At 39.1% G+C, this 13,670-nt stretch overlaps 1 long non-coding RNA gene across 5 annotated transcripts in view, besides 1 other annotated feature; it reads left to right on the top strand.

The window, feature by feature from the left end:
- Positions 1-8,778: 8,778 nt before the first annotated feature.
- The window catches only part of LOC105374122 (uncharacterized), a 161,587-nt gene continuing 156,695 nt past the window's right edge, over positions 8,779-13,670 (top strand). For all 5 annotated transcript variants that reach the window (XR_924528.4, XR_924527.4, XR_007096111.1 and 2 more), the window contains exon 1: positions 8,779-9,007. This is a non-coding gene — a long non-coding RNA (uncharacterized LOC105374122). The remainder of the gene's footprint in view (positions 9,008-13,670) is intronic.
- Positions 10,477-11,676: an enhancer, noted in NCBI's record as "P300/CBP strongly-dependent group 1 enhancer chr3:135232323-135233522 (GRCh37/hg19 assembly coordinates)". NCBI's record gives its function as "activates an origin of replication core promoter dependent on BRD2, BRD4, P300/CBP, MED14 and CDK7 cofactors, with strong dependence on P300/CBP, by STARR-seq in HCT116 cells {active_cell/tissue: HCT116}" and the evidence as "EXISTENCE:reporter gene assay evidence [ECO:0000049][PMID:35650434]".

The following is a 13,670-nucleotide window of genomic DNA, read 5'->3' as shown; positions in this document are numbered from 1 at the left end:
GAGTCCAAGTTAATCTCATGTGAAACTTAGTCAATTCCAGGCTGCTCAGTGGCATAATACTGAGTAACCATCACAACCATCCATTTCCATAATTCCTTTCATCTTATAAAATTGAAACTCTATGCCTGTTAAACCATAAGTCGCCATTCCTCTTTTCTCACAGCCCCTGGCAACCACCATTCTACTTTCTGTCTTTATGATTTTGATTACTCTAAGTACTTCACAGAAGTGGAATCACACAGTATTTGTCTTTTTGTGACTGGCTTCTTTCACTTAGCATAATCTCCTCAAGGTTCACCCATGTTGTAGCACATTGCAGAATTTTCTTCCTTTATAAGGCTGAGTAATATTTCATTATATGTACATGCCACATTTTGTTTACCCATTCATTTGTTGATGAACATTTGAGTTGCTTCCATGTATTAGCTATTGTGAACAATGCTAGTATGAAGATGGGTTACAAATATCTCTTCAAGACCCTGTTTTCATTTATTTTGGGTATATATACATTTATTTTGGGTATATACACATAAGTGGACTTGCTGGAGCATATGGTAATCCTATTTTTAATTTTTTGAGAGTGGATATAGAAAATCATGGTATATGCAGCTTTCTTTTTCTTTTTAAAATTTTTATTTTAGGTTCGGGGGTACATGTGAAGGTTTCTTACATAGGTAAACTCATGGCATGGGGGTTTGTTGTACAAACTGTTTCTGTAAAAAGGTATTAAGCCCAGCACCCAATAGTTACCTTTTCTGCACCTCTCCCTCCTTCGAACCTCCACCCTCAAGTAGACCCCAGTGTCTGTTCCCTTCTTTGTGTTCATGATTTCTCATCACTTAGCTCCCACTTATAAGTAAAAACATGTAGTATTGGTTTTCTGTTTCTATGTTAGTTTGCTAAGGATAATAGCCTCCAGCAATGCCTATATTCCCACAAAAGACATGATCTTGTTCTTTTTGATGGCTGCATAGTGTTCCATGGTGTTTATGTACCACATTTTCTTTATCCAATCTGTCATTGATCGGCATTTAGGTTGATTCCATGTCTTTGCTATTGTGAATTGTGCTGCAATGAACATTTGCATGCGTGTCTCTTTATGATAGAATGATTTATATTCCTCTGGGTTTATGCCAAGTAATGGGTATATTGCTGAGTCAAATGGTAGTTCTGCTTTTAGCTCTTTGAGGAATCACCATACTGCTTTCCACAATGAATTAATTTACACTCCCACCAACAGTGTGTAAGTGTTCCCTTTTCTTTGCAACCTTGCCAGCATCTTTTTTTTTTTTTTTTTAACTTTTTAGTAATGGCCATTCAGACTGGGGTGAGGTAATATCTCACTGTGGTTTTAACTTGCATTTCTCTAATGATCAGGGATATTGAACTTTTTTTCATATGGTTGTTGGCCACATGTATGTCTTCTTTTGGAAAGTGTCTGTTCATGCCCTTTGCTTACTTCTTTAAAGGGGTTGTTTGTTTTTCTCTTGTTAATTTGTTTTAGTCCCTTATGGATGCTGGATATTAGACCTTTGTCAGATGCATAGTTTGCAAATATTTTCTCCAATTCTGTAGGTTGTCTGTTTACTGTGTTGATAGTTTCTTTTGCTGTGCAGAAGCTCCTAAGCTTAATTAGATCCCACTTGTCAATTTTTGCTTCTGTTGCAATTGCTTTTGGTGTCTTTGTCATGAAATATTTGCTAGTTCCTATGTCCAGGATGGTATTGCCTAGGTTGTCTTCCAGGGTTTTTATAGTTTTGGGTTTTACATTTAAGTTTTTATTCCATCTTGAGTTGATTTTTATATATGGCATAAGGGAGGAGTCCAGCCTCGATCTTCTGCATATGGCTAACCAGTTACTCCAGCAGCATTTATTGAGAAGGGAGTCTTTCCCTTATTGCTTGTTTTTGTCAGCTTTGTTGAAGATCAGATGGTCATAGGTGTGCAACTTTACTTCTGGGTTCTCTATTTTGTTCCATTCGTCTATGTACCTGTTTTTGTACCAGTGCCATGCTGTTTTGGTTACTGTAGCCTTGTAGTATAGTTTGAAGTTGGGTAACGTGATGCCTCCAGCTTTTGTTCTTTTGCTTCGGTTTACCTTGACTATTTGGGCTCTTTTCTGGTTTCATATGAATTTTAAAATAGTTTTTTATTATTCTATGAATAATTCTGTTAGTAGTTTGATAGGAATAGCATTGAATGTATACATTGCTTTGGGCAGGGTGGCCATTTTAATGAAATTGATTCTTCCTATCTGTGAGCATGAAATGTTTTTCCATTTTTTTGTGTCTTCTCTGATTTCTTTGAGCAGTGTTTTACGATTCTCACTGTAGAGATCTTTCGCTTCTCTGGTTAGCTGTATTCCTAGGCATTTTATTCTTTTTGTGGCAGTTGTGAATGGGATTGCTATCCTGATTTGGCTCTCAGCTTGACTGTGGATGGTATACAGGAATGCTAGTGATTTTTGCACATTGATTTTCTATCATGAAATTTTACTGAAGTTGTTCATCAGCTAAAGAAGCTTTTGGGCTGAGCCTATCAGGTTTTCTAGATGTAGAATCATATCACGCAAACAGGGATAGTTTAACTTCCTCTCTTCCTATTTGGGTGCCCTTTATTTCTTTCTCTTGCCTGATTGCTCTGGCTAGGACTTTCAATACCATGTTGAATAGGAGTGATGAGAAAGGGCTTCCTTGTCTTGTGCTGGTTTTCAAGGTGAATACTTCCAGCTTTTGCCCATTCAGTATGATGTTGGCTGTGGATTTGACATAGATGGCTCTTATTAGTTTGAGGTATGTTTCTTTAATATCTAGTTTATACAGAGTTTTTAACATGAAGGGATGTTGAATTTTATCAAAAACCTTTTCTGCATCTATTGAGATAATCAAGTGGTTTTTGTCTTTAGTTCCGTTCATGTGGTGAATCACATTTATTGATTTTCGTATGTTCAACCAACCTTGTATCCTGGGGGTGAAGCCTACTTGATTGTGGTAGATTAATATTTTGATGTGCTTCAACCCAGAAGCAATGAGCACCCCTAGTATCCACACTATGGTCTCCAAGTATTTCCCTGAAAAGGACTGTTCTTTACAAAAAACGGCTTATTTCAGCTCTGAAACAGGAAATGAACAAGGCAAGCCTTAAGTATCATATTATACTAAAAATCAAGGAGATAATTAATGAAAGACTACTAAGGTTTTGTCAAAGACTCAGATTCCAAATTGAAAAGGCTACCACTATCCAAAAATGGAATGATTTGGCCACTGATACAGATACAGTTTAATGGATTGATATCATATCAAATATATTTGAATTCATAAATTCATGAGGTGGCTAAAAAGTAACAGTAAAGAAGAAACTCAGTAGTAACTGATAGAAAATTAGGAAATAAATTTATTATTCTGAAAACTGGTAAATACAAGGAAATTATCCAGGAATTATCTTTCCTTTCTACAAGAGCTATACCTCAGAGTAAGCAAATTAATGATAAAGGAAAGTTCTTCTTTATATTATTATACAGATAATACTAAGTGAAGAAGAAGTGATATAATTAGAACATTAATATATTTGGTAACCATGAATGAATTGTTGGATCTATGCAATGATCATCAATACTGCTAACAACACAGAGACACGTGGGCATTATGGATCTCCTGAAGAAAGTACACAACTCCACCAGTGAAGTGGTTTTGCCAAAAAAAAAAAAAAAAAAGAACAGAAACAAGAAAACAAACAAACTTGAATCTAATCAAGCCCTTAGCTCTAGCAATTTAGAGGAACAGAGGAACTCATCAAATGAAACCATGGGATCTAATTAGCAAAATCCAGACAGTGGAAAACCCTTTAGGAAAAACAATCCAGTTTACTTATCAACTAAATTACAAAGAAAAGACGAGAGAGAGAGGAAAGGGGAACCTTTAGGTTAAAAGATACTTAGGCTAGATATCAACAATTATAATATGTGGACCTTATTTGTATCTGAATTGAATCAAACTGTAAAAGATCAGAAGAAAGACAACAAAGAAATATGAACACTGATTTTTCCCAAAGGTCACATTTCCTATTACCATCTCATTAGGGGTTAGGATTTCAACAAATGAATTTTAGAAGGACTTCAGTCTATAACAACCAGTAACTTCATATTAAAGTTTATTTGGAAGCTGGTGTTTCTCCTACTTAGCTTTTAATTTAATATTTTGCTTTCCTGAATTTTGGATTTTTGCCTGTGCCTTTCCTACTTTGACCACTATTAATTTTCCATACATCTTTGCTTCAAGCTGAAGACCTCCCCAATTCCTTAAATCTATCCCAAGTTAACACTAACACATTTTGTGTGCACCGGAGACTTTTACTTAAGGACTGTCTATGGATAATGGGTAGAGCTTATAGGCAATCACTTAAAATTGAATAAGAGGCATTATAACTAATGCCACAATTCTAAAATTAGCCACAATCCCCAATAGGTCTGCCGTGCTGCCTTCTTTCTTCCTTCTGAGACTTCTATTCCATTTTCTGGCTCTCAAGTCACAAACCACAAACTCCCAGCTATTCATTTATTTTTTTCCCCAGAAGAAATAGCTTTATTGGGATTAGCATCTGGAGAAAGAAAGTAGTACCTGATACATCATAATGACTTGAGGAATGCAGATAGGGCAGGCATATGGTTATTAGACAAATGGACTCCATTTCCCAGCAGACTCTGTAGTAAGTCTAAGCAATACAAGGCCCTTTTGGGAAAATAGTTTCCCCACTCCCAAAACCCTCTACTAAGCTGCCATTTTTAAAAATGGATCAACAATCTTCATATGCCTTTTTTACCTCAACCACCACTATTATAAATACAAGGAAATATCATATTTTATTAATCTTAAATTTATCTTTTACATTTAGCTCCAAGTGTTCCTCATTTTCCATAGTTACTGTCCTTCTGAACCTGGGAGCCAGAAGTTCAACTGAAAATTTAGAAGGCAATCTTACTAGCCCACAGTGGCCTTTTTCCATTTTTCCTCATCGCTTAGGACCAAGTAATAGGGAGAGTCTTAGGCTTGGGCAATAGAGTTATTTGCCTCACACAATAGCACGATAAGGCATCAAATGTGGGATACAGAGCCAGGCTGGTGAGATTAGTAGACAGGAAAGCACAGATCCATAATTGGTGTAGAAAGAAGAGGGATGATTGCTGGCTTGTGTGTCTATGAGCTTTCTCCATCCTCTTCATCTTCTCTTCCAGTCCCGACCCTGCATTCCAGAAACCTAGAAATTCACAGAAGACTTGTCTGTGGTAAGTATGGAGGGGAGTAGGGAGTAGTGGGTGTCTGTGGTGGGGGATTAGTAGCTTGGATACTCTGGCTGCTACTTAAAGCAAGAGGGCACTTGATTTCCATGAGGAACCCTGGGTGGGGGTGGTGGAGAGAAAGAAAGAGAGGGGAAACAGAGAGAGAGAAAGAGAGAGATAGAGAGAAAGTGTATGTATGGGGGGACAGGATCAACAGGATTGTAGCCTTTGGGAATGTGGAGTTGGAGGAATATGGAGGACTCCCCAGTAGGCATGGACGGCCTCAGCTCCCCTGAACTGGGATTATGGTAGCTCAGTACTCCTTGTTAAGTCTGTGCTTGGACTCAATTTATCTTTATCTTCCTATCACTTTCTTAAACAGAGCAGTTCATTTCCCCTCTTCAACCCAAACCAAGCTCTTCACCCAGGTTCCTATATCCAAACACCCATTGAAGTGTCCGCTAAGCAGAGGGTCATCTATTCAGGGTCTCCATACATTCACAGTCCAAAATGCTGACAGAGGTTAGAAATCACATATTTTTGGTTACCTGATCACAGTCTAGTCTGTTTCTCTCCACCTTTCCTTCCAAAGCCAGATCCTAGAGCTTATGAGATTATTTTCTTCAAGTTACAGAAGCATCGGAAAAAGTGGAAACTTATGTACAGTCCAGAAAGTGTGAAAATATGGCAAAAGGTGGACTCCATGAGTTTTTCCTTTTTCATTTCCTCCCTTAGTTCCTTTTCTGAAAGAGGAGCTTTCTGTGTCCGCCTGAAATAGTGTGTTGCATAATAGCTGTCTCGGTCCTACTGTAGTTTTTGCTCCTGTTCTCAAGGTCTTGCTGCTTCCTGCAAATGAGCAATAACAAACAGATCTCAGATCTCTTAATGACAGGTGGTTTATCTCAGTTTGTAATCAAAAGGGTTCCACTACCACCATTAACACCCCCAAAATTAAACACAATGAAAAAAAGAGTAGATGTCTGAATAAACTGAACTTTAAATATATAATTAATAAAAATTGTATTTGTTCTTCCTTGTGAAGTGTGTCAATATTTACCTAAGTGTCACATGCCTAAGCCCAGTGGAAGGAAAGCCCTCTGTGGTCCAGGGTGTTGGATGGCAGAGACTCTGGCCTGGACCTACCCTGTCCAGCTATTGCCTGATCTTGTTATTCCTCTCATTATCCTTCAGCAGTCTGCAATCCCAAGCCAAGGGACATTCAGCCATACTTTGAAACTGTTGTTCTCAAGGGGACAAGTGGACTGCAAGTCAGATCCACAAACATCAGCTTATGAACCCTATCGTGGTTCGTGTCTTCTCCCAGCAGGCCAGACTTTCAGGGCATTGAGCACCATGTGCAGAGTTTCAGCAAGTGTGTCATTTGAGTCTTCTTTGAAGGAATCACTGCCTGACTGCAAGGTGGAGTACTTTTGTCCCCTGGTTTGGCCTTTACCTTATCTAGCTCAATAGAGAACAGAGATCTTTTGGAATGCAGATCCCCATCATATCAGCATGTTTTCTCCCCTGCTCCTACCTCAGCTCCAGAAGGATAACCCAGGTCTCACAGGGCAGAGATGGAATTGTTGGGTGGTAGGAGGGTGAGCACAGAAAGCAGCTGTCACTTGAAGTCCATCTGCCATAGAGACTTACAGTATGACTAGTGACAGTCCATTCCTGTATTTCACATCTGCTTTCCATAATGCTTTTTCCTATCATAGTCTTTATAACCATCACATCAACTTGTTATCTTGAAAACTGTTGAGAAATGCCACTTGTGGAGACCGCTCAGGGAGTGATTGTGACCTTTATTTCTCCTCCCACCTGACTGCCTAGAAACATCAGTTCCCATGGCCTCTAGACTGATAATTATGGGCAACCACTTTATCTTGAGTTTCTCTGTGTCTTTTCCTTCTTGTGTTGGAGGCCCGGAACATCTGGAGCACTTCCAGACCTGGGCTCACCATGCCTTGGATCTGAGTCCTGGCAGGGTCTAGGTCTAGGCTCCTGGGACTCCCAGCAGGACCTAACTTTTTACCTCTATAGGTTTTGTGTAATTCTAGAGAGTGTATTTTGGGAACCCTAAATCAGAGTAAATATCTGACATTTTAAACTACATTTATGGGACCTATGTAATAGAATATTTCAAATGAGCACTGACTGGGAGAACCTGTGGCATATGATGACCCTGGTGGGCACTGGCACCTGAATGATAATTACAAACTCAGCAACAGAGTGCTCTGCCACTGTGGTCACTCCATCCCATTTCTGAGAACCTGAAGGAGGTTGCCATTTCTGGACTTTGTACAGTTACTCATGGGCCATACATCCTCATCTGTGACTACATTTCATACCTGTAAAAAAAAGGCTTTTGAGTAGAAAGTCCTTAAAATCCTTTTCAGCTTTAACAGCTGTGTGATATTATGATCTGTACTTTTGATTTATTTTTCCTCCCCTTCCCATATATCCTGGAGAAATCTTAAGAATGAGGAAACTGAATCCTAGCTGACCACTGCAACTTCCCAGAATACAAAGTATTCCCCTCTTTTGTCTCCTAAGCCAAACGCAGATTTGCAAAAGCCCTATTGGGGCAAGTTGTGTCCCTGAATTGCTCACTCTGTTTATTTGGATTAAAAATTAGCATTGCACTGCATTAATAGAAGTAATATTTACAGGTTTAGCATGGATGCTGATCATTAATGGAAAAATAAATTAAAATCCCCATGCCCTCAATCTGAAGAATCTTGGCACACTTCTGGATAAGATTAATGTTATGAAACAAGGTTTTAGAGGAGATATAGGAGACTGTGTCCTTGATATAACAGAGCTCAGTGTACTTTATTGTGAAATTTCCAGGGAATTGATTTGCAGATGAAAGCTCAGAAGCCCACAACACTGGACAACAGAACTGTCTGTTGAGCAAGTCTGGGGGACGATAAGAGGAGGGGGGATAAAAGATATTAGCCGCCCAGGAGCTTTTAAGAACCATTTCCTCAGATAAGATATTCTTGTGTGACTACTTGGGGCCCTTGCTCTGAGAGTGTATCCTAAGCAGCCAGTGCTCCCTGCCATTCTACCAGATTTTCTGCTCCGGGAATGTATGGTTTTGGAGTCGGGAGCAGTGGCAAGTGAGGACCAGAGAGTAATCAGCATTCCTGCCAGTGTCGGAAGCTCTCAAAATTTAGTCTTGATTAAATGCAGTGCTTGGTATACCTCCCAGGCTTGGGGACAGGACAGGTAGGGTCACACACTCTTTCTTTCAACCCACATTTATTGAGCACCTACTCAGTACTGGCTCTGCCTCTGTCACATCCTCACAGAGCTCAGGCATATCAAGGAGGAATTGTAATACAGTGTGGTCAGAGCTATGATGAGTTAAATACGGGATGCTGTGGGAGCATGGAATGGGGATCCTGACCTTGCCTGGCCACTAGGGGAAATCCTTTAGAGCAAACACCAGCCCAGCCTCTAAAGACCATGCCTGCTTTAGAGACAGAGAGCAAGAGGAAGTGAGCAAGGGAGGTCATTCGCAATTCTGTCACTCCTAAATTTGTCTGAACCTTTTTGGAAGGCATTTGTATTTCCTGCCAGCACCACCTCTTGGGGGTGATGAATTCCAATAAGTTTCAATCCGTTTATTACTCACTGTGAGAGAAATTGCTTCCTTTTATGTCTGGAACTAAACCTGGATCACATTTCACAGGATATCCCCTAGTCACAGAGTTTTGGAATCTGGTGAGTAAATCCGTGCCTCATGAAACCTCAAGGTTCTTGTTTTTTCTTTTTTGTTTGTTTGTTTTGTTTTGTTTTTTGAGATGGAGTCTCGTTCTGTCGCCCAGGCTGGAGTGCAGTGGCAGGATCTCGGCTCACTGCAACCTCCGCTTCCCGGGTTCAAGTGATTCTCCTGCCTCAGCCTCCCGAGTAGCTGGGACTACAGGCGTGCACATCACACCCAGCTAATTTTTGTATTTTTAATACAGACGGGGTTTCACCATGTTGGCCAGGATGGTCTCGATCTCTTGACCTCATGATCCACCCGCCTCAGCCTCCCAGAGTGTTGGGATTACAGACGTGAGCCACCGTGCCCTGGCTGGTTCTTGGATGCAGATGTCTTCTCCTCTTGGCCTTCAGACTGAAGACTCTAACCTTTCCCCTTGTCTGATATTCCCATTTTATTTGTCTTTCTCAGAATCTCTAGTAGTTGTACCTTTCCGGGTTGTGGTGGCGAGAACATCTCTTAACTGCTTTGTTTAACAGAAAAACAAAAAGCGGCTTTGCATAAGGGAAGAAAGTATTTTTGCTTTTTGTTTCTGATAACACAGCATGAGAACACAAGACAACTGACTGAAATACTCTAGGGCAGGGCGCTTGCATCGGAAGCATCTTTACATCCCAGGGCCTCACCTAGAGCCTGTGACATGACCAGCACATGCAGGGTGGATGTCTGTAGAGGGTCGGGGTGAATGCGTATCCTGAGTATTGCTGCGAGCCCAGATTCCTTTACATTATGCTTAGAGTTTTGATTTTTTGTTTTTAAAATTTTATTTCTAACCCTTTTAATGTCTCACTAGATTTGTAGGTGCGTCCTCAGAGTCACTGATCTTTACTGCCTGGTGGACTTATTTGCAATGCTTTCTTTACCAAATTATTGTGTTTTTATAATTATGTAGTGGAAAATTTTCATTGTAGAGCATTTGGAAAGTACAGAAAAGATCAGATAGAAATGTAAAATTAGCCACAATTCAGCCACACCTCAATACATTTCTGCCCAGTTTTTTCTATGACACATTGATACTTTTTTATTTTATAAAATTGGAATCTTTCTATTATTCATTTTTTTTCATGTAATACCACACCATGAAAAATTTTCTGTGCCAAGGAATATTCTTTGGAAATATTATTTTAAATGGTTGCTTAATTGTCTGACAAATGGATATAAATTTGACTGGTTATTCATCTTTGAATAGACCAATTGTTTCCAATGTTTTCCTATCACAAGTATTTCTATCCTTCCTAATATTGACACAACCTACTGGGTCTGAGTCTGATTATTCTTGTCCGCTGTACATAATTAGAATGCTTTATCTAACTCAGTGGTCCCCAAAGTGAGATGTAGTCACCCAGTAAGCAAGGGAATATGGAGGGTAGGAAGAATATTATAATTCTGATTTTTATTTGTTTTTATCTTATACTTGTACTGTTTCTATTTTTGATGCTGTTTAAAACAAATCAACATGTTATATGGATATAACAGCATACAGGGATGTAATCTTGTAGTGAGTGACCCTAGTTAGAGGGCACATGCTCAGATTCTTTTTTACCTAAAGCAGATTGCAATCAAAATTATTTGGAGACCACTGATCTAAGTCATCCAGAAAATTTGTAAAGCTTTGTTTCCTCTTGGAGTTTTCCTGAAGTTCTTGGATTTTAGGGGAAGTTGGATTATGAAGTCCTCCAGGGTCTACTAAGCTCCTGGTAGCTTTTCTGTGTCACTGTAGACAATGGGGACTCTTGTTAAGCTGTGAGAAGCAATGGCAAAAACTTGACTGATCTCCCTTTCCCTGAACAGCCATCAGATAACGCCCATTCCTTGTGACTTCCTAATGCCATCTCATTCTACGGCTCCAGATGAAACTGAGGAGGTTGGGTTTTACTGCTTGGAGCCTGCCTATACTTATCTCCTCCAATCCCTGTTTTCCTTTCGTCTAGCTCTGAGGCACTTGCTTTTTCCCCCCACTCTCTGAAAACACTTTCATGATTCCCTCACTCTTTTACAGCAGTATCTTTTTATTTATTTATTTATTTGTTTGCGGGAGACCAGAGTTTTATTATTACTCAAATCAGTCTTCCCCATTCGGGGATCAGAGTTTTTAAATACAATTTAGTGGCTGGGGAGGGGCAGTGAGTCTGGGAGTGCTGATTGGTTGGGTTGGAGATGAAATCATAGTGTGTCACTGCCTTCTTGTGCTGAGTCATTTCCTGGGTTGGGGGGGAGGTCACAAGATCAGATGAGCCAGTTTATCAGTCTGGGTGGTGTCAGCTGATCTATCAAATGCAAGGTCTGCAAAACATCTCAAGGCCTGATCTTAGGAGTTTAGGGAGGGTCAGAACCTTGTAGCCTCCAGCTGCATGAATCCTAAACCATAATTTCTAATCCTGTGGCTAATGTTAGTAGTCTAGTACCCAGGCAGGAAGGAGGTTTGTTTTGGGAAAGTGCTGTTATTGTGTTTGTTTTAAGGTATAAACTAAGTTCCTCCCAAAGTTAGTTCAGCTTATGCCCAGGAATGAACAAGGACAGCTTAGAGATTAGAAGCAAAATGGAGTCAGTTAAGTTAGATCTCCTTCACTGTGTCAGTCATAATTTTGCAAAAGCGGTTTCAATCCCTCCTTTTAGGTTTTATAACACCTTAATCTTAGGGTGTTGGCTAATGAAGATGGAAAAAGGGTGAAGACTGCTCTAATTTCTTCCTGCTGATCAGGGGTGTAGTGGGGGTAGGTGTTGACCCCAAGGTGAAAGGAGTGAAACCACTTTGCAGCTGCCTGAGTGTACTCATGCAGGCCTGGCTGGGGTTCCAAGGCTTGCATGGCAAAGCCGTTAGTATTGTCATCTGTAGTTTCAGTATCGCATTTAGGGGAACAGTGTACTATAAGGTAAATACTGAGTGCTAGGATAAGGAGTGCAACTCCCAGTTTTAAAAGTAAAAATTTCCCCTTCCTGTGTCCATGTGTTCTCATTGTTCAATTCCCACCTATGAGTGAGAACATGCGGTGTTTGGTTTTCTGTCCTTGCGATAGTTTGCTGAGAATGATGGTTTCCAGCTTCAGGAAGGGGAATATCACACACCAGGGACTGTTGTGGGGTGGGGGGAGGGGGGAGGGATAGCATTAGGAGATATACCTAATGCTAAATGACGAGTTAATGGGTGCAGCACACCAACATGGCACATGTACACATATGTAACAAACCTGCACGTTGTGCACGTGTACCGTAAAACTTAAAGTATAATAATAATAAAATTAAAAAATAAAAAAATAAAATAAAATGAAATAAAATAAAAGTAAAAATTTGAAAGCATTAGTTTGGGGACTTGTAACCCACAAAGAATTTAGGATTTAGTTCAAACCGCAGAAAAAAAAAAAAACAAAACCAAAAATTCAAGTACAGCTAACAACAGGTATACTATTGTTTTTCTTTTGAAGTATAAGTTTTCTATCTCCAGTCCCCATTTAAAAGCTCCCCACTACGCCAAGATAACAAAATAAAATAAAACAAAAACAAAAGTATACTATCTCTTTAAAATGTTGCTGGTCCCTTGTACTTTTATAACTTGTGTTTTTAACAGCTTTATTGGGATATAATTGACACACAATAAATTGCACATTTTTAGCATGTACAATTTGATAAGTGAGGGTGCAGGTGCATGCATACTCCTGTGAAACCATCACCCAAATAAAAAAATGAGTATATTCATCACCTCCAGAAGTTTTCCCAAAGGGTTGTAATCTATTCATCTACCTGCCCTCACACACTCCTGTTGTCCACAGGCAACCACTGAAAGACTTTATGTCATTATAAATTGGTTTGCATTTTCTAAAATTTATACAAATAGAATCAAACAGTGTGTATTTTTTGACTGTCTTCTTCAACTCATAGTTATTTTGATATTTATCAATGTCGTGTCAATCATTCATTCTTATTATTGAGTAGTCTTGTATAGATGTAGCAACAAATTGTTTATTCATTTACCTATTGATGGACATTTGGGTTGTTTTCACTTTGGGCTTTTAAAAATAAAATTGTTGTAAACAAATGTTTACAAATCTTTGTATGGACATATGCTTTTATTTCTCTAGGGTAAACCCCTAGGAGAGGAATGGCTGGATCATATAGTAGGTATATGTTAACTATGAAATCCTAAATTGTTTTTCAAAGGGTTATACCATCTCACATTCTCACCTGCAGTATATGAGAGTTTCATTGGCTTTGCATCCTTTTCAATACTTGCTCATCCTCATCAATACTTGCTATGGTCAGTGTTTCTAACTTTAGCCATTCTAGTAGGTATGTGAGAGTGTCTAATTGTAATTTAGATATACATTTCTCTAAAGACAAATGATGTTGAGCACCTTTTACTTGCCATCTGTGTATCTTCTTTATTGAAATAGCTTTTCAAACCTTTAGCTCATGTAAAAACAAACTGGGCTGTTTTCTTATTACAGAGTTTTGAGAGTTCTTTACATATTTTGGAGACAAGTCCTTTATCAGATATATGCTTTGTAAAGATTTTCTCCCAGTCTGTATCTTGTCTTTTGATTCTCTTAACAGTATCCTTTGAAGAATAAGAGTTTTAATTTTGATGAAATACAAATTTATGATTTTCTTATGGATTGGGATTTT

This window comes from Homo sapiens, chromosome 3 (assembly GCF_000001405.40).
Source record: "Homo sapiens chromosome 3, GRCh38.p14 Primary Assembly".
NCBI classification, from domain to species: Eukaryota; Metazoa; Chordata; class Mammalia; order Primates; family Hominidae; genus Homo; species Homo sapiens.
This window is presented reverse-complemented; position numbering and strand designations above follow the sequence as displayed.